This window comes from Homo sapiens, chromosome 5, assembly GCF_000001405.40.
Source record: "Homo sapiens chromosome 5, GRCh38.p14 Primary Assembly".
Classification (NCBI taxonomy): domain Eukaryota; kingdom Metazoa; phylum Chordata; class Mammalia; order Primates; family Hominidae; genus Homo; species Homo sapiens.
The window spans coordinates 79312687-79334491 of record NC_000005.10 but is presented as its reverse complement, the minus strand read 5'-3'; the positions used below and the strand labels follow the sequence as shown (position 1 = coordinate 79334491).

At 39.1% G+C, this 21805-nt stretch overlaps 1 protein-coding gene and 1 long non-coding RNA gene across 3 annotated transcripts in view; one reads left to right on the top strand and one right to left on the bottom strand.

Moving 5' to 3' along the window:
• LOC102724530 (uncharacterized) overlaps positions 1-17483 on the top strand; it is a 31006-nt gene extending 13523 nt beyond the window's left edge. The window contains exons 3-4 of one of the 2 annotated variants that reach the window (XR_001742755.1): positions 669-868; positions 16858-17483. This is a non-coding gene — a long non-coding RNA (uncharacterized LOC102724530). The remainder of the gene's footprint in view (positions 1-668; positions 869-16857) is intronic. The other variant, XR_001742756.1, reaches the window with a different exon arrangement.
• Positions 7281-21805, bottom strand: part of JMY (junction mediating and regulatory protein, p53 cofactor) — a 91081-nt gene continuing 76556 nt past the window's right edge. Inside the window, exons 9-11 of the mRNA NM_152405.5 lie at positions 19641-20235; positions 18182-18492; positions 7281-12886 (exon numbers count right to left, since the gene is read on the bottom strand). Coding sequence (NP_689618.4) covers positions 18185-18492; positions 19641-20235 — 903 coding nt within the window. The 3' untranslated portion in view covers positions 7281-12886; positions 18182-18184. The remainder of the gene's footprint in view (positions 12887-18181; positions 18493-19640; positions 20236-21805) is intronic.

Below are 21805 nucleotides of genomic sequence, written 5' to 3'. Positions count from 1 at the left end.
GCTGTGTCATGTCACAAACCTTCCCCTCACCCCCAACACAAACAACATGTGGAGGTCTCTTCTGGGGCCATTTAGCGTTTCCAGGGAGGGTCTTCCAGACCCACCGGGTGTATGTGTTTGGCTGAGTGCCCTCCCAGAACCAGGCAGGAGAGGGCAGCCAGGAGTCTCACGGCTCTGGCAGCAGACTTTATTAATAACGGAGTCCTCCAGTGTTCCATGTTACCTTCAACCTCCTCTTGTTCCTGTTGGTTGAGTCCAGATCTCCTCTGGCTCATTTTGTCCAGAAAATGAACTCTAGTGTCTTGCAGTGGGAAGGGAGGGCATGGAAGAGGGGAAGGGTCTAACTGCTCCTGCTTCAAATTTTCCACCAGTCCCTTTTTTCAACTTTGTCCTTCAACCCCACCTTCCAAAGAACACAGTGCCTCCGAGTGCTGGGCCGCAGGGCTGCACTGCAGACCCTCAGGTCAGCTGCCTCTAGTCGGCTAAGTCATTTCCCCTTCATGCATCCGTCACTTTCTCCCCTTTGTTCTTTGTCTCTCTGCTGCCATGCTAGGGCCTTAGGAGGGAGTATCAAGAAAATCATGTTTTAATCCACTGTATTTAACTCCAAGATCTTTTGTGTTCATCATATTTTTAAAATAGTTTCTTTTTTTTTTTTTTTTAAATAGAGATGGGGGTCTCGCCACGTTGCCCAAGCTGGTCTCGAACTCCTGGGCTCAGGTGATCCACCTTGGCCTCTGAAAGTGCTGGGATCACAGGTGAGAGCCATCAGTGATTGTTTAGGATGCAGTTCCACAGAAAGTCAGTCAGAAAATAGAAATTCCACATTCTTCAATTGCACCCAGTTCTACAAAGAGCAGACATGAAGGTAGGGATTTTTCTTTGTTTTTATTGTTAACTTAAAGTGTTCCCTATTGAATAACATTCATTTTGTGACATGTGAATGAAACAATTCCCATTTCTTTTATGTAAGGACATGTAGATGATTACTGATGCTTTTTCAGATCTGTCCAAGAGGATATATTTTAGCCTCAGAGGTTTTTGCTTTTAAATTACTCAGATCTTTGTAGTCCTTTGTGAATAATTTTGGCATCACATCTTTAGGAGAACAATAATAGCTGACACTTACATAATGTGCCAGGCACTCTTCTATGCACTTTATTTTTTATTTTTTTATTTTTTTATCTTTTGTTTTTTGAGACGGAGTCTAGCTCTGTCGCCAGGCTGGAGTGCAGTGGCACAATCTCGGCTCACTGCAACCTCCGCCTGCCAGGTTCACGCAGTTCTCCTGCCTCAGCCTCCTGAGTAGCTGGGATTACAGGTGTGCGCCACCACACCCGGCTAATTTTTGTGTTTTTAGTAGAGACGGGGTTTCACCATGTTGGTCAGGCTGGTCTCGAACTCCTGACCTAGTGATCCACCCGCCTCAACCTCCCAAAGTGCTGGGATTACAGGCGTGAGCCACCGTGCCCTGCCTATGCACTTTAAATATACTCACTAAACCCATACAGCAACCATGAGGTAGATCTCATTACTGCCTTCAATTTACAGATGAATGAGAAGAAGCAGAGAAGTGACTTGCCCAGCCTCACACAGCTAGTAGGCAGCACCAGAGCCCTTGCTCTTAACCACTGTGTCATGCTATTTTGAAGCAGCTTTTTTCAAAGTAACTTGAAAAAATGCAAACCCACTTCTCAAAGGAGAACATTTAAAATGTTAAAATACCTAGGGCAGGAGAGTTTACAAAACACACACACACACACAAAGCCAATTAAAGGGAGCACAGAACTGTGTAACCCAGAAGTCTGAGATGAGTTGGCTTTTCCATTGGAGCACTAAATTTAGCTTGTAATTCTTGCCAGCTAATAAAAAAAAGTAAAGCATGTTAGATTATATGGTTCTCCTTGTTTTGTAGAGCAAGAACGCTAATTATTTTGTGGAGAAAAAAACTTTTTGGCAACTAAATTCCAGAAGTAATTTCTAGAATTTTAATAAAAAGCCCTGTGTTAGAGCTTTTAAAAAACTTTTTATATTGTAAAATGTAATACTTATTTAGAAAAATGTGTAAACACGAATGCACAGGTTACTGAATTATTGTAAATTAAACCTCACAACCGGCCAGGCGCGGTGGCTCACGCCTGTAATCCTAGCACTTCGGAGTCCAAGGTGGGTGGATCACGAGGTCAGATGTTCGAGACCAGCCTGGCCAACATAGTGAAACCCCGTCTCTACTAAAAATACAAAAAATTAGCTGGGCGTGGTGGCAGGCGCCTGTAATCCGAGCTACTTGGGAGGCTGAGGCAGGAGAACTGCTTGAACCTGGGGGGCGGAGGTTGCGGTGAGCCTAAATCACGCCACTGCACTCCAGCCCGGGCGACAGTGCGAGACTCCGTCTCAAAACAAAACGAAACAAAACGAAACAAAACACCTCACGACCACCCTGGCCCAGAAGTAGAAACGTGACAGCCCCACAGAAGTCCTTGGTGTGTCCCGTTCCCAGTCATAAAGCTCTCCTCTCCTGCAAAGGTGACCACTGTTTTGATTTTTTTATGGTCATCACCCCCTTGCTTTTCTTTATAGTTTTATTGCCTGAATAATACCCCTAAAACACTACAGTTTAGTTTTGCCTATTTTGAAACTTTATATGACTGGAGTCATATTTTATATATTCTTTTCAGCTCCTTTTGCTCAACTTTCTATCAGTGAGATTCATCCAAATTGTTGCATGTAGCTGTATTCCTTTTGCTCTGTCTTACTCCATTGCATCACTAGATTACATTTGAGGAATATACCGCAATTTGCCCATTCACCTGTTGATGGACATCTGGGTTATTTTAGTTGCTGCCTATTGAGGATCATGCTGCTATAAACATTCTTGCCTATGTCTCCCCGTTTAGGCATACACATATTTCAGCTGCATAAGGAAGTGTTGGGCCACAGAGTGAGCATATATTGAACTTTTGTAGATAATGCCTACCAGCTTTCCAAATAGTTGTTGCAGTGTATATGACCATCAGTAGTATATAAACGTTGTTTTCCAAATACTTGCCCACACTTAAAATCGTCAATCTTTAAAATTTTAACCAGTCTTGAGGGTTAAATTTGGTTTTAATTATGCTTTTTGTTACTTTTTTGTATGCACATTTAGCCATTTGTATTTCTTCTTTTATGAGTTGCCTACTCAAGTCTCACGCCCATGTTTCCACTGCATTGTTTGTCTTCTTTTCATTGATTTGTTAACTTTCCAAAACAATGATACTAATATATAGAAATTCAGTTGGTATTTATTTATTTATTTATTGACACAGAGTCTTGCTCTGTTGCCCAGGCTGAAGGGCAGTGGCATGATCTCGGCTCACTGCAACCTCCACCTCCTGGGTTCAAGCAGCTCTCCTGCCTCAGCCTCCCAAGTAGCTGGGATTACAGGTGACTGCCACCACACCTGGCTAATTTTTGTATTTTTAGTAGAGACAGGGTTTCACCATGTTGGCCAGGCTGGTCTCAAACTCCTGACCTCAAGTGATCTGCCCACCTTGACCTTCCAAAGTGCTGGGATTACAGATGTGAGCCACTGTGCCCAGCCTCAGCTGATATTTACTTTTATTACATTAAAAAATAAAAAATAATTTTATTAAGCAACCTCACTAAACCTCTTAATCCTAGTAATTTATCTATTGATACTCTTGGATTTTCTACATATGTAACCATTATATCTGCCACCAAAATGTCCATTTCTGTCTTTCCCTCCAATCCTTAATGCCTTTTATATATTTCTTGCCTAACTGCAATGTTAGTACCTCTAATATGATGGTGAAACAAAATAGTTGACAGAGGGTACCCTTGTTCTTTGTCGCAATCTCAAAGGAGGCTATACTACCTGGTAGTGCACGAGCCCTCTTCATTTGCCACAAAAGAAGAGAAAGATTGGTGCAATCTTGGACTTTCCTATCTCAGGCTGAAAGTGATGCACGTTATTTGCTTTTTCATCTCACCGGGTAGAATTAGTTACAAGGCTCTTTATCAGCAACGGTGCTAGTAGATGTAGGGGGCAGTTGATGGGACATCTGGTGAGCAGGCTCTGCCACACAAGGGGCCGACATAGAGGATAACAGGGGAGTTACTTGAGGAAAAGCAGGAAGTCCTCTGTGAGGAGCTGGCATCTCAGTGGAAGGCTCAATGATGATGCATTAGCTTCCAGGGCTGCTGTAACAAAGGGCACAGGCTGGCTGGCTTACGCAACAGGAATCCCTGTCTCACTGTTCTGGAAGTCAGAAGTCCAAAATCAAGTTGTCAGCAGGATTGGTTCCTTCTAAGGGCTGTGAGGGAGGGATCTGTTCGAGGCCCCTCTCCTTGGCTTATGGATCACCTTTTCTGGTGTTTCTTCCTTCTTCTATAAATGTCTGTGTCCAAATTTCCGTTTTCATAAAGACATCAGTCATATTAGATTAGCGTCTACCTTAATGACCTCACTTTAACTTGACTATCTCTGTAAAGACTCTATCTCCAAATAAGGACACGTTCTGAGGTACTAGGGGTTAGAACTTAAAGTATGAATTTTGGGAGACACCAAGTTGGCCATACTTACAAAAGGGAGGGAGGTGAACAATTCTAGGGAGAGGGCAGAGTCTGCGCACAGGTCCTAAGGTAAGAAAGAGATTACACATGTGGCTGGAGCCCAGTAAGCAGTGGGGTGGATAGCAGGGGCCAAATCACATCTCCTTGTAGTTTATGGGTAGGAAATTTATGGCTTTATTCCAACTGCAGTGGAAATTGGAGAGCTTTATGCAGGGGAGAGACATGATCTCACCACGTTGTGGGTATAGAATGAGTTGCAGGCAGACAAGAGTAGCAGTGGGAAGACAGGGCAGGAAGCCAGTGAAGCGTCTAGTGGATAGATGACGTAGGCTGGGACCCAAGGGTGGCAGGGGATAGAGAAAGAAGTGTGTGTGTGCCAGGTGTATATTAGAGTTAGGTATGACAGGACTGGGAGATTTGGATGGGAGCCGGGAAGTGAGGTTGAGAAAGGTATCAAGGATAACTTCTAAATTCTGAAAGGCAGAACTGGAGGAATTGTGAAAGACGGGGAAAAGTGGGAAAATTAGGGTTCAGGTTTTGATGGTGATAGGGTCAAGGGGACTGTTTTGGGCATGTTATATTTCAGATACGTGTGAGGCTTCCAAAGAAAGAGGTCACTAGGCAACTGAACACATATGGACCTGCGTACATACAGTGAACTGAGAAGAGGCGAGGACATGGAGTCATGATGAGAGAGATGTCATCTGGAACCATGAGAAAGAGTAACTAGGCAGAGAGGGAAGAGTTATGAAAGAAGCCTAGAAATACTTAGATATTTTTTGTTTCAACCATCCATGAAAGCCAAATCATCACGCTTCTATGTAACGGAGTGAAAGCATGACTGGGGTTGAGATGATGCTGAAGTACTGCCTTCTGATAAGTCAACTTGATGCAATGACAAAAGTTAGATAACGGTAGGCAAAGTTGGAATTGGCATTAGAAAACCTTTCAGCAAGTGCTGGGTCACAATAAATGTTTGGTTGCATTTTCTGACAACTCTTGGAAGTTCCAGAGTTAATCCTGTGTTTCAGAAATTGTGGGACTGACCCACGAGCTTGTTGCACAGGTAAGCCATCCTGTTTCTGAAAAGAGGTGGGTCACAAAGTGCCCTATAGGGAAGACCAAATAATTCCTCTAAAAGGATATTTGAGCCACCAGAATAACTTGAATACTTACTTACTCAAGTAAGATCCCAGAAGTTTGGGTCTTTAAGCATGAAAAAGATCATTTTGGTCTATAACATGGAATGTTGTTGCCACCTGGACTACTTCATCTCAGAGAACCACTGTATGGCATCTGTATAATGTAATTTTGAATACACATATAATGTCACATGTCCTAGGCATATCAGAAAATAATATGCCTAGGATGGCTAGACTGTAAGTTCCCCTCCCTCCCCTTACTCCTCTCCCATGACTTTAGAGGTGATCTACTTAATGGCATTTATTCGTCTGGCTTATACACTTACACACTGTACAATATCTGCAAAACAATTCACAGTAGGGTGTCTTTTTATTTTTTTTTTATTTTTTGAGATAGAGTCTCGCTCTGTTGCCCAGGCTGGAGTGCAGTGGTGTGATCTCAGCTCACTGCAACCTCTGCCTCCCAGGTTCAAGCAATTCTCCAGCCTCAGCCTCCTGAGTAGCTGGGATTACAGGCACATGCCACCATGCCCGGCTAATTCTTGCATTTTTTAGTAGAGATGGGGTTTCGCCATGTTGGCCAGGCTGGTCTCGAACTGCTGACCTCAAGTGATCGGCTCGCCTTGGCCTCCCAGAGTGCTGGGGTTACAGGTGTGAACCACCGCGCCCAGCCTATACAAAGTTTTAAGAATAACCATATGATTAATTCCTGCTATACTTCCCTTCCATTGAAAAATGTTTACAAACAATATAAGGTTTCTTGTGGAGTTTTCCAATCTCTCACCAGTCTTTCATTACACAAAACATCTGTTGATGCACTTGGGGATGAATAACCTTTCAATTGTTCTTGGTATTAAACAGTTCTGACAGAAATTGGCCAGTATATTTAATTGTTTAAGGCTTTTCCTCAAAACCATATTTTCCTCATAAGCTTGCAATGACTTGGTAAAATCATTATTGCACATTTCAATATAAAGGGCTCCAGATCACCAGAGGAATATGGCAAGACATTTACTGAGGGTGGAAAGAGATCAAACTGGCTGCGGTCACTGGAATGTTCTAGCTCTGAAAGCGTGTAAGTAGAAATTCCTGAGACTAAGGGAAAATTTCAGATACTACAGTTTTCAGGGTATCACTGGAAGTGAGACAAACAACTGCTGAGGCATTGGTGGGGATCTATGTTTCTTTTCTTCTTTTCTTTTCTGTTCTATTTTTGAGATTTTGATCTATTTGATCTGAGTGTGTAACTTTATAAATATTTTTCTGCCTCTCCCCACCCCCATTTAAAAATTTTCCAATTTGGAAGTCAGCACTTCCAAACTTTGTGAATATTTATAAACAATGAGAAAGTTCATTAATAGCACAAAGAAAGTTGCCATCAAAATATGTCACAACAAACAGCGCTCAGGAAGAGGCAGAAATACAGGCATGGATGGTCTCTGGATCCTGTTCTCCATGTTATAACTTTTGTCATAACAGATATACAACTTGCTATGGTCCTCCTATTTGAAATGAAGTGAAAATATGTACCACTGATATTTTAAACAAACAAAATCAGGTTAATTAATTCAAATAAATATCCTTTATTAAAGAAAAAGAGGAATATTGTTAAAAGCACCAAAACTGTAGGTTGTTACATTGCATGTACAACAAGAGAAAGGTGATTGCAATACTTGGTGTACAAGTACTTAACTCTGAAGTCATGAGTGTAAAAAACATGAAATACAAAGCAATACAATTACAATGCAGAAAAGCTGCACTAAAGAGCAAAAGGCAACAGTCAAAACGATTACTGGAGATTTCATGGTATTGCTATAAATGCTTGCTTAGTTTTTCCTCTGTACTTTTAATACTTTAGGATGTTAATTGAACATATTTAAGTATTGTAAATTTGCAAGAGTTGGCATTTACAATACACTGTGCACACTGTCCATTTAATGTAATGGTACTAAAGCCATCCTTACAAGCCAAGCAAAGCACAATGTGCTAGTGTTTTGCTTCTACCTTTTATAATATTGCACAAAGCTAGTAAATGGTGAATGAGTTTTCCATTAAAATTTTCATTTACCCAGAACCGATAAAAATCATGTCAGTCTCCTTAGCCCTAATGGGCAATTAATTATTCATGCAAAATAATCTGCAGCCTTCCATTTTTCATTAACTACATATTATAGTTTGCACACTTGGAAAGACATATAATACAATGAGAAATTCAATGAAACAATGGAGATTCTGTCAAAGTTAAAGAACTCAGAAGTCACTGTATGGGTAGCATCATTTACCCCTCTTGGTTCACAAATGAAGGGAAAATGCCACCTAGTGATTATGCAGACTTTTTAAAACCAATATAATTAGTATTGGGAAAAGCTGGAATAATTTGTTACACCCTTTGATAGCTACCCATAGAACATGCAAGTAAAAAAAAAAAAAATCCCCAAATTTCCCTTGTTAAAACTGAACTCTGTAACCAACATCCATACCTTGTGTTTTCATCTACACATCACTTTTCAAGGTCTTTCCTATCCACCAATTCCCCCAAATTTAGCCACTCTTAGTGTGCCTAATTAAAAACAACAAAAAACACCAGCAAAAAACAAAACTTTCCCCTAACCCGCAAAACAAATGACTGCTTTGAGATTCAGTGTGAAATAACATTCATCAGTTATTTAACAAGTCAACCTCAGAGGTATTTTCTGTACATGCACCTTACAGTGGCATAATGTCTCTGCAGAAGGGAAGAGACAGTATAAATTTGGAATTCAATCAATTAAATCCTACAATTGCGAAGTTGTACATTTACTGTGGGCAAAACGTAGAAAACTTTACAATAAACACATCTTAAGAATAACCCAATGGGGAAACTTTTCATACATTCACACACACAAACGCACACTCTCGCCGAATCTAGACTCCCTCCCGCCTTTCCAAACCCTTTGCTTACATAACATAGTTTAGGCAACAATATAAACTCACTTTGTAGGAAAACTTTTAAATTACACTATATCGGATAAAAAATACCATTGCTTCATTTTACAAAGCAATTAAGCAGTGACCCTTCTTAATGTGCTTTAACTAAAGAGCACTTTGCAGCAAAGTTCAGAAATAACTACTGAATTGTTCAGTAGCACTAAATAGATGCAACATGCTCTAACAGTAAGGTGCTTCCACTTTCTCACCCCTTTTCCATCTGAAATAAATCTTGCTGGTCACTCCTCTAACCATAGCTCTTTTTCTATGCTAAGCAGTAAGTGGGAAATAGAATCTGTTTAAAATGCACACTTAATTTTATGTTATCATTTACATTTAGTGCAATAATTAGGTAAAACTTAAGGTTTCTGCTTTCATTATCAAATGGCTGCATTTTAACAATGTGTCTGCAATGGTTTTGAAATGTCTTACAGCTGTTCATTTTTTACAAGTAACCTGGTAAAGCGTATGAAATTTCAACTCCCTGATAGAGCCCTTAAGGACCCAATAGTACTTTTTACACATTGGTATCTGATGTTAAGTTTGTAATACTTCAATAATAAAGCTGAAAAAAGAAAACCCCAAAAACCTTGTATTTAGCTTTGCCTAGGCTAAAAGCATTGACTTAAATTTATACAAACACTCATGTGACTGTAACTTAAAAATGGTGTCTTAGGGAATGTGTAAAATTAAATTGTATTAATTGTATACTGATCCCATTCCAAACAGAGAGAATGCTGCCCATTAGTTTTTGTTTCACTGATTTAAGAGTTTTAATTCTTAGTGTCTACTATGGCCCAAGTATGCTTTGCAACTTGACACACATTCTGTGATATAAAGTGGCCATGCCATATGTTACCAAATATTACTACATAGTTCAACTTTGTGGAAACAATTTTTTTCCTTATTACATAGAGTAAGTCAAAGTGCTGAAAATTATTTTCTGGTTTTGTGTTATGAGAAAAGCTCTACATTTCTATTCCCACTATTACAGCTGTGTCTAGGAGTCTCCTTTTAAAAAATGCATTACAGAAATATTTCAGTTCCACAATGAAGAATTAAGGAATGATTGTTTTTATGCTGCTCACAAACTCAGTAAGCCTATATAATACAAGCAAAACCATTCTTCATCTTTTAAAAAATCCTCTTTAGCCAGGCATTCCTCATACTGCTGTAATATACACAATGATTTTAAATAATTAAAAATACCTTTCCTACACATGCTACATTGGTTATAATTTTGGTTGCATTAGGAGCCATTTGAAATTGACAGTCAAGTGGGCAGTAACATTAATCTCAAAATGTCCCAAACTCATTTACTTGTTTTACCTATTTTAAATGCATTGCAGTTGAGACTAGATTGGAAATTAACTTCTAAATTGACTCAGCATAAGCAAACAGCGGTTTGTGGATACAGAAATCATATATTAACAGAAATGTGTCCAATATTTTGAAGCACATAAAAAGTACGGGCGAGTTTGGAACTGGAAATGTGAGCATCTACAAGTACCATCATAACTAAATATACACATATTTAGTATCAAGGCCGAAGATCCTGATTTTATTAGAGGCAAGAAGAAAAAAGGACATTTAACCAGGCTTACATAATTTTTGTTGGGTTCTGAAGCTACTTTAAAATTAACAGGTGGGTTCCACTGGTAATGTCATCTTGATGGACAAGTAGACCCTAGTTATTTGAAATTTTATTATTATTTGTGAGTAACTCCAAAGGTTTTTGACCTGCAATCATTTGAAATTTTGTAGAAGTAGGAACCTGCACCTTAAGGCAAGGAAATGGGTGTGTTGGAAAGTTATTTACAAGAGGATGGGCATAGCTGGCTGCCAACAATACTCTGCTTTAACCTCCTTCTTTTCCAAGTGTGAGGTGACTCTCATGGAGAACTGTAACAGGATGGGTTGAGAGACTTGTAGATGTATCCATGAGGCTGAGTGGAGTTCTACACACCCTCCACCCTCCACTCTTTGCTAGAGACTTATGATTACAGCACACTCTGGAAGACAGACCACAGGACATATGTATAAAATGAGCCTATTTTATAATGAAATCCCAAAAGTAAAAGAGTAGCAAATTCCCTCTCAAGATATGAATGTTCCAGGGTTTCTGGTTAATTTAACATTAGATCCGTCCGTATTTTTCTGAATTTGAATAAATGAAAAAAAGTGAACCAGCACCCAAAGAACTGGATATATGAAATGTTGACACATGGGTACGTAAAAACTGGATAGCATAAAATTGATACATGATTTTGTAAAGGTTTGCAAATTTGCTTTAACTTTTTCAAATATATTCATATAACCAATCACTCTTTGGGTTAAGAAATACGCTTTAATATTTTACCAAGGGCAAATAGGACACTATCACCACCCCCATGCTGTTGAAGCTTCCATATTACATCTGTATTTCTAATCTTCCCAGATAAGATGTGGGAATAGTGTGGGAACTAAAACCAATGTATTATGAAGATGCTGCAGAGAAGCTCCTAGTCTCATCAATAAACGTATTACTAACATTTAAATAAATAAAAGATTTTGTCAGGCTGGGCACAGAGGCTCACGCCTATAATCCTAGCACTTTAGCAGGCCGAGGCTGGCAGATTGCTTGAGTCCAGGAGTTCAAGACCAGCGTGGGCAACATGGCAAAACCCTGTCTCTATAAAAAATATAAAAATTAGCTGGGGCATGGTGGCATGTGCCTGTTTTGTTTTGAAATAATAAAAAAAGTTGTTGTCTTACATAACCTGTTGCCAGAAAATTTTCTCCCTAATTATTTTCAAGAAAACACTTTAAAATAACAAAGGTGTGAGCATTTCTTTTTTTCTCTAGGAATACCAATTCATATACACTGGGCTTTTGCTCCAGTACTGCTTTCTGGGTTTAGGCCAGATAATTGTCTTAAAAGAAATAAAGTGATTTTTGGTATTTTAGTTCTTAACTCCCTCCACAGAAAGGCCAAGATCTGTCTTATGCAGAATTATATGTACAGGGTACTGCACACTGAGTCCAATGATCTACATGTATTCAAGCCCACAACAATCCTGCTGAAAATCTGGAACATATAAATGTGTCCTTCAGGACTCCATCACAGCCAAAATCAGCACCTAAAGCTGTGTATAAGTTTAAAATTTTAGTGACTATAACAAAGGCATTCTCCCAAAATTCCATTCAGTGCATGTGAAGATGGTGAAATGCCAGCCACGGAGACTTGTCTCTACTTTCTATCTTTGTAGAGCACATGCTTTTCACTGTGGAGCATAAAAATAAAAACTTAAAATGGTAATTTGTGAAAAGAGTTAAGATCTGCATCCCTATGATTGAATCTTGATTTTTGATTCTCAATAGGAAAGTCATGTCAGTCATAGCAATCAAGCAATAATTCAAACAAAATAAAAATAATTTGAAATATTATCAAAGTACTGCCTTCCATAAACAAGGATGCACATAAAATTCAAACTATTATAAATTCAAGAAATATGAAGAGTGATTTAAAAGCACGGAAACTTCAAAACCTTACAAAGTATAAGACTCCTAAAAATATGCCATGTTAAATGTATCATGTTGTGAACATATTAATAGATGTATCTCCATAAATGCAGCTTTTCAGATGTTGCTGAACATCTTTATGAAAAATCCTTTGGAAATGAGTAATGCGGACATTTTAGGTGTATTTCCATTTGATTTTAATGCCTGACTTACAGCTATCATGATGATAAACTTTCTCAGAGTGTCACAGTATTTAATATAAGCTGATATGGAAGAAGCTATTTTTTCAGATGACTTTTCAGTGCATTGAAAGATGGTTCTCAAAGCAGTCCCAATACAGCTCACAGTAGATCTCTGTCAACCCAGTGTTCTTCCAACTTACAGCAAGCCCTAGCTTAACTGGCCATTACAAGGATGTAAATATGTGGATGGAAGGAGAATGTGCTTAAAAAACAGAAATCTCCAGAAGGCCTTTTCTTCATTGCAGTCAGGAACATTGCACATGTAAAATTCATGTTAACCATCATCTATTGGAACGACTGGAAAGTGATAACCTGCCAATTGTGCTTCCTTTCTTCACACCACTGAACCAATGAACTTTGGATCTAATGTTATCCAACTGAGGAACCAAGTGCTTAAACTGTCATTTTCCAAAAGAATCAGAACCAATCTTGAATGATATTTTTCTTCTGTTATGTCACCTGTTTACAAACAAAATAATACAGACCATTAAAAAAAAGACCCTTTAAAGATACAGTGTATTTACGTTCCCTCAAAAAGTGTAAAAAAGACATTTTTTACAAAAGGCCATGACTGTATTCTTAAAGCAGTAAAAATGAAAACAAAATAATCTAAATACAGATTTTGATCACTTTTAAAAGACTATTAGATTTTCATTTTTATTATTTTTACTCTAACACTGTATGAAAACTATATACTAAAAAGGTAAATTCAGTCTAAACTATTTGCCCCATAAACTGCTACTAGAGTAAGAACAACTAAATGGTGTCTTCAAAATGCAGTAGAAACTGTTTTTGTTAGACTAACATTTAGAGGACAGGATTAATACCAATCTTTAAATGGATACTTCACCCGGGCATTTTATTGAAAAGTGTTGTGCTTAAGATCTATGGGGCGTACCCAAAGCACAGGAGCATTTATATAAAAGACATACTCTTCAGATAAAAGCTGACAGGAACATGAATAAAGTACCAACTTAATACAGTTCTGCATTTTCTAATACTGTAGCTACATGTGGCTAATGAGCACTTGATATGTGTCTAGTGTGACTGATCTAGTTTGATTTAAATCCAGTTTGATTTAAAAATCTAAAACAGTAAGTACTATTTTTCCATTAAATACAATTTTGCTGTTTTGGTAGGACATTTCTCATTAAGTATCAGATCCTTAGCATTCAAACTGAGATGTGCTACTAGTATATATAAAACATACACTGAATTTTGAAGACTTAGTGTGAAAAAAAGAAATAGAAAGCAATGTCCTTAGTTTTTAATGTTGATTATGTGTTGAAGGATACTACTTTGGCTACATTGTGTCAAATAAAATATTACAAACATCAGTTTCACATGTTCCTTTTCATTTTTGATGTGACTATTGGACATTTTAAAATTACATGTCTCAAACTATATTTCCTTTGAACTACATTGCTATAGTTACTTTAGAAGACTCCTACAGGGGCCTAGCACAGTGGCTCACGCCTGTAATCCCAGCACTTTGGGAGGCTGAGGAGGGTGGATCAGTTGAGGTCAGGAGTTCGAGACCAGTCTGGCCAACATGGTGAAACCCCTCTCTACTAAAACTTCAAAAAAATTAGCTGGGCATGGTGGTGCGCCTGTAATCCCAGATTGAACCCGGGAGATGGAGATTGCAGCGAGCCAAATACGGCGCCACTGCACTCCAGCCTGGCTGACACAGTGAGACTCCATCTCAAAAAAAAAAAAAAGACTCTCACAGGAAACAAACTAGAAGCTTATTTATTTATTGAGACAGATTTCCTCCTGCCTCAGCCTCCCAAGTAGCTGGGACTACAGGTGTGAGCCACCACGCCCAGCTACTTTTTGTATTTTTAGTGGAGATGTGTTTCGTCATGTTGCCCAGGCTAGTCTTGAATTCCTGGGCTCAAGTGATCCACCCACCCCCAGCCTCCTGAAGTACTGCAGAATTACAGGCCTGAAACTTAAAGTTCACACTCAGCCTGAAACTTATTTTAAACCTCTATGTAATTACATACATTTTAAGAAATTTCCTTGAGCATGACTATGGCTATCTCTGGAAAGAGAAGAGTTTCAGAGGGGAACGAACAAGGCAGAACAAGGGACCTTCATTACCTACTTTATGAATATTCAAGAAATTAGCTCTTAAAAGTATATAAGTACATTAATGACAAAATCTATAATCAAGAAATCTGGCCAGGCACAGTGGCTCACACCTGTAATCCCAGCACTTAGGGAGGCAGAAGCAGGTGGATCACCTGAGATCAGGAGTTTGAGACCAGCCTGGCCAACATGGTGAAACCCCATCTCTACAAAAATACAAAAATTAGCTGGGAGTGGTAACACACGCCTATAATCCCAGCTACTCCGGAGGCTGAGGCAGGAGAATCTCTTGAATCACGAGGCACAGGTTGCAGTGAGTCAAGATCACACCACTGCACTCCAGCTTGGGCAACAAGAGTGAAACTCAGTCTTGAAGAAAAGAAAAAAAGAGAGAGAGAAAAAAAAAAGGAATCTAATAAATTAATGGGAAATACAAATTGCGGTAAAGCCTTCTTAGCCATTTGTAGATAAAAAGTTCACAGCCTTTTAGTCTCCATGATCACAAAGTAGTGATACACAGCTACTTCATCACTGCCTAATCAGTCCATACTAGTCTATGGTTTGCTTCTGGGTTAGCACACATTTAGTAAAGGGAGACTGCAAACTTCCAAGCTCATATATTTTCTAAGTGTTTCACTGTTTCTCTCTCAACATTGTACCACATATTCCAGCCATCAGCCGTCTCCCACACCCCCGAAAAAAGTTTTAAGCAATTTTCAAAGTGTATACACCATGCACCATGTTAACATCTGATACTAAGGCTAAATTAGTAGCCAGAAGCTATGAGTAACATCCCAGCCACTTGAGTATACAAAATGCTGATGCAATGTCTAGGGTTAGGCAGGATATGGTGGGATGGGAGGAGACAGACAAGGATAGGCTGACTTGAGCAGCTGCTGGTGTGCTGTGAATGGGCCACTGTGGACCATCTGTAATGAAAGAGCTAAACACACATTTATGTGAAGGTCCAGCTGTGGAATTAGTCAGTGCAAAGATGGTAGTTTTAGGCACAAGCTTAAGCAGCTTCCTGAGAAGCTACAGCAGAAGGAAACAACACATGGTAGTAAGAACTGTAAAGTGGGAGACAACCTACAAATATCCACTATGGAAAAGATTCCCAGTTAGACATACCTGAGAGTCTAGACATTCACAAACTGATATGCATCCCTCTCTCTCTCTCTCTCTCTCTCTCTCTCTCTCTCTCTCTCTATATATATATATATATATATTCCTTTACAAAGCATAGTGGACATATGTACAAGCAAAAATAACTCGAAGTTACTTTGGGATCCAAAAACATAAGTCATACAAAGTGACTGTTACATGTAACTGTATACATAATAGGAAAAAAAGCAGGATAATGCTACTACTGAATGTTGGCTGAATCATGGTGAATGTAATATTACCCTTTTTAAGTTATTGATTGATGCAGATGCTGGTGGAGAGGTACTACAGGAATATTTACCTAATGAACCCATACCCAAAGGAACAGGTGAAACTGCTTTCAGTAATATTTTACCTAATGTAACTAATAGAATCTTTCAATATGTAATCAGTTGTTTAAAAACTGACATACATTACATTTTTATATTATGTCTTCAAAATCTAGATGTGTACTTGCATATACATTAGATCTACTCAGAATTCTTTTTTTTGGGCCAGGCATGGTGGCTCACACCTGTAATCCCAGCACTTTGGGAGGCTGAGGTGGGTAGATCATTTGAGGTCAGGAGTTCGAGACCAGCCTGGCCAAGATGGTGAAACCCTATCTCTACTAAAAATACAAAAAAAAAAAAGAAAAAAGAGCCGGGCATCATGGCAGTCGCCTGTAATCCCAGCTACTCAGGAGGCTGAGGCACGAGATTCACTTGAACCCACGAGGTGGAGCTTGCAGCGAGCCGAGATCATGTCACTGCACTCCACCCTGGGTGAGAGAGTGAAACCCTGTCAAAAAAAGATTTTTTTTCTTTGTTGTTCTACTCAGAATTCTTAAGTCAAGGACAGAATGTCCATTTTTAATAAGCTCCCCAAGTTAATTCTTATGATCAAACATGTTTTAAGAATTATTATGCTAATCGGGGCAACCATAAGGAGACCCTGTCTCTACAAAGAAATTAAAAAATTAGCCCGGCATGGTGGCATGTGTCTGGAGTCCCAGCTACTTGGGATGCTTGATCCCAGAAGGTTGAGGCTGCAGTGAGCCATGAACGTGCCACTGCACTCCAGCCTGAGCAACAGAGGGAGACTCTGTCTCTAAAATAAAAAAAGAAATTCAACAAAAATAATTCACAGGGCTAACACATGAATTAATTATTCCTTTACTTATTCCCTTCTAGGACTCAAGTCTTCCCTACTTTGGTGAATGTTTGAAGCCTAGAGAAACATATTCCATCAAGAAAGAATAATAATTAATAGAACATGTTTGTATACTCTATAAATTTTATACAAATTACAACATTTCAGTTACCATCATTATAAATTTGATATACTGTTTAATTTATACCATGTTATCTTTAATGTTTCTATATATTTGGTGTAATCTGTGCCATATTACTCTATAATTAGTATATTAAAATGTAGTAGACTATAGCTCTCTATTATATTAGGAGAATGCTACATGTGTAACCAAAGAGAATCTTAATATGTATAGGAGTATTCATTAGATATGTAGATAATTTTTATATATTAATGATACCTGCAAATTTGTCTAGATAATACAGTAACTGTGACAATAAGTAGTTTTTTTTAAGGGTTTAGAAAGTTAAATAATCAGACAATGCAACAATTTTTCCAGAATGATCTTAGAAAACTCCTTTGAGGTCAGCTAACATGACATCAAAATTCAGTGTGCATAACAGTTTGTTACTGAAATACTTTGTCAGAAAAGGCTTTGCATTAAAAAAAAAATTGACGTATTGATTTCTTTTTACAGACGGGGTATTGCTATATTGCCCAGGCCGGATTTGAACGCCTGGGCTCAAGAGATCCTCATGCCTCAACCTCTGAGTAACTGGGACTACAGAAGCGAACCACTGAACCTGGAAAGCCTTTTTTTTTTTTTTTTTTTTTTTTAAGACTGAGTCTCACTCTGTTGCCCAGGGCAGTGGCACGATCTCAGCTCACTGCAACCTCCGCCTCCTGGGTTCAAGTGATTCTCTTGCCTCAGCCTCTCGAGTAGCTGGGATTACAGATGCCCGCCACCACGCCCGGCTAATTTTTATATTTTTAGTAGAGAAGAGGTTTCACCATGTTGGCCAGGCTAGTCTTGAACTCCTGACCTCAAGTGATCTGCCTGCTTCAGCCTCCCAAAGTGCTAGAACTACAGGTGTGAGCCACTGTGCCAGGCCCTTTTCTGTTTTTTTAGGGCAAGAATGAGACTGTCACTTTACTTGCAATTACAGCTGTATAGCAGAAATTTTTAATGAGGAGGACATTTTTAAAAATAGTATTTACATAGCAATAATCATTAAAAAGTTATCTTAAGTTTCTAGAAACTACAGAATTAAGTAAAACCTGAAGTTCATAAATTTGTGATCCATGCTAAAATTGGGTTATAAAACAAACGATATGCCTCAGGCTCAATAAAAAATACCCCAAACCTCATCATCCGATATAAAACCTGTATTACTGAATGCTACTAAAGACAATAAGGCCGTTTACTTGTTAGTTCTCCCAGTCTGTGCAAGGTAAAGCCTCCTCTTCGTCCTCTGACTCTGGGGATGCTTCTTTAATTCTTCTAAGAGCTTCATGGATGCTCCGTGTTAGAGGGTCTGTATCGGGTAGAAGTGTGAAGGATTCTCTCAAAACATCCTTCTGTACCTTCTTCAATTTTACCCCTTTCCTTATTTGTGCCAAGATATTATTACTATCATCTTCATCAGGAAAAGGAGGCAGAGTTCGCTGTTCAACCTTTTTCAGATGAAAACTACCACGCTTCAAGGAGGCTAGCACCTCATCCATGGGTGAGCTCACTTTGGAAAATGAAACAGAACAGTATTACAGTTAGGACTGCACTTAATTAGAATGAAACTGTATAACCTCTACCGTTCGCAACTGTGAAAGCACAGGACGCTGAAACACCATCTTCAAAATGGATCATGAAATGTGTGCAGAAGGTGATCAGAACACAAGGGATCCTAATTATCCTTCTTTTTAGAAAATCCCAAGACCCAATCCATGGTGGGTACTGTTGGTATTCCTATCATTTCCTACATGAGAGAAGTGACCAGATTGGGAACTGGGAGGTGGTCTTAGTAGTATTATGGGTGTGATTCCCAAAGGATTTCCATATTGCAGTTGCTCCACCCAAATTCAGAGTGATGGGGTTACACATTTTGTTTTTAAAAATTAATTTTTGTTTATTATGGAGACTGTGCTTTTTTCATTTAGTTGTTTTACATGTGAAATCCTACTCAGATTACATCAAGAAATGTTTTATAGAATGGTCCTTCAGGTTAAAATGTAATATACAAGTAATATGTAACATTTATATAATGTTCTCCCCATGCAAAATGCAAATTCCTTAAAGGCAAAAGGCAAGGGTTATTCTCTGCTCTTTTTAGAAATAATTTTATTTGTGCTTGAATCTCTCTTAACAAAAAAAATTAGAAAAAAAAATAGTAACCTTATTGAGGCACATCTGTCACATTGTAAGTTGAACAGATTACTCCCTGTTCTTCTTTGCTTCTTTATACAAATACACAAAAGTCCTCAACAAATGTATGAACAAATGTTACATGATCCTGCCAATGTCTTCCCTGTGGTGACAGTCCTTACCAGATATCTTACCCTTTCTGATATGAGTATTTTTTTAAAAATCTCAGGTTTAAAATCAAAACTTTTTCCCTAACACAAAAGGAGCCACCCATTATACATTACCAAACATGAATGTATCACTTTAGAAGATCTGTTTTTAAAACATGCCTAACAGCCCAAGAAGGCATACATTTCTGTGTACTTTATGCACTAAGAATTCTCCTCTAGTGTGACTTTGAAAACCTGTTTACTATCAAATAATGTCAAAAATAAAGTGTTTTAAGCTTTGCAACGTCAAAAAATATAGTTTTTTACTATGCCTGATGTCATACAACAGATGGACCATGAAAATATGTTGACGTACCTCTCCTCCTCTGCAAACCTTCAGCAGTCTTTCTGAGCTTCTTCCGTGCACTGACCAGCTGGCTGCTGTCAAAGAGGTGTGCTGAGGGGGCACTGGCTGACTTTGGGATCCTCTTCTCATTCCCCTCCTTTCTAGGCAGATCTTTCTCCAGTGTCTCTGGGCCACTGTCCTTAGCAACAGGCAGAGGTGGTGGTGGTGGGGGAGGGGGAGGAGGTGGGGGAGGTGGTGGTGTTGGAGGAAGAGGGGATGGGAGTGGATTTATGGTAACAGAACATGGTTCGAGGTTGTTATTCAAAAGTGGAAGAGATATAGTGGGAGGCAGTTCAGAGGTAACACCACTGAGAGGTAATGAGGTGGCTTCAAGTTGTGTTAATGAAGTATCTTCAAGTTGCACAAGGCTCTGGGGTTCTGTTGTCTGTGATGGCCCACGCTTGACTCTTCCTTCTCCCACCTCTTCAGTTTTCTCTTCTACCTGTAACACACTTGGTAAAGAGTCACAATGATCCTCTTGGAGAACAGGACTTGCTGCACCTTTTCTTCTTGCATGAGCTAGTCGTAATCTGGTTGATTTAAGTATGACTTGCCCAGGATACCTCTAAAATACCAGAAGTTATTGGAACTGGTTAAATGTTATTGAAACAATTTATGAGCACATGCCTATTTATTTTCTCCTTCAAATAAAAGATGTTATGTGGCCGGGTGTGGTGGCTCACGCCTGTAATCCCAGCACTTTGGGAGGCCGAGGCGGGTGGATCACCTGAGATCAGGAGTTTGAGACCAGCCTGGCCGACATGGTGAAACCCCGTCACTACTAAAAATACAAAAATTAGCTGGGTGTGGTGGCAGGCACCTGTAGTCCCAGCTACTCAGGAGGCTGAGGCAGGAGAATTGCTTGAACCCGGGAGGCGGAAGTTGCAGTGAGCCGAGATTGTGCCACCGCACTCCAGCCTGAGTGACAGAGTGAGATTCCATCTCAAAAATGTTATGTTGGCTTATTGGTTATTTCACCCTTAAAGTTATACAGAAAATCCGAAAGTACCTAATAATAGCTTACAAACAATTATGAATTTATTATTTGCCTATCAAATCCACGATTGATAATTCAAATATTCAAAATTATGATTAAAAAAAGATTTTTAGTGAATAAAACTACTAAATGTATAAAACAAATAGCATGTAAAATGCAAAACATAAGTGATGTCAAATGTATAAATGCTACTGGTATGCAAAAAGTTTCCTATGTTTTCAAATGCACACACGAGAAAATTAAAATATTCTTTAACAGGTTACTTGGCATTTTTAAAAAGCTCCATCAACTATATATCCATTTTATGACAGAATGAAGAGAGAAATACATTTTTTTCAGTACTTACTGGTAGAACTCTTATATATATTTTACCATGGTAAGACCTTTTGTTTGTTTGTTTGTTTTTGAGACAGGGTCTCACTCTGTTGCCCAGACTGGAGTGCAGTGGTATGATCACAGCTCACTGCAGCCATGACCTCCCTGGCTCAGGTAATCCTCCCACTTCAGCCACCCAAATGGCCGGAACCACAGGCATGTTCCACCATGCCAGGCTAATTTGTATAGAGACAGGGTTTCGCCATGTTACCCAGGCTGGTCTTGAACTCCCCGGCTCAAGCAATCCACCTGCCTCAGCCTCATAAAGTGCTGGGATTACAGGCGTGAGCCACATTTACTTAATAACAAGGCTTTTCCCCTGCCTCACCTCCTTTTTTTCCACTGTAACACTTGTTCAAAAGCCTACTTCACCTACAAAGTGATCCTTCAGCATGCATAACTGAAGTAAGGCTCCAGAGTACTTTAAAAATGAGAACTGTGAGGCTTCAGCACAGTTCTGAGGAGATGTGTGGATACTGTGGTATCAGTGTGTGGTCATGGCTTACCCTGGCAAGAGAACTGCTGAAGCATTTCTCAAATATGCTGCTCCCCTCCACCTCTAATTCTGCCAATGGTCATTTGATGTATTACCACCACAGGCTGATGTATGTGGAATAAATAACATGCTGATGCTTGAGCTGGATAGTCAGTTGTGATTTAACTAATTTTTTAAACTCAAGAGGAATCTAGGTTTCCCAGAGGCCCTTATCATTCCTCTTATACTACTGAAGCTGTGGGTCAAAGGTCACAAGAATACTAAATT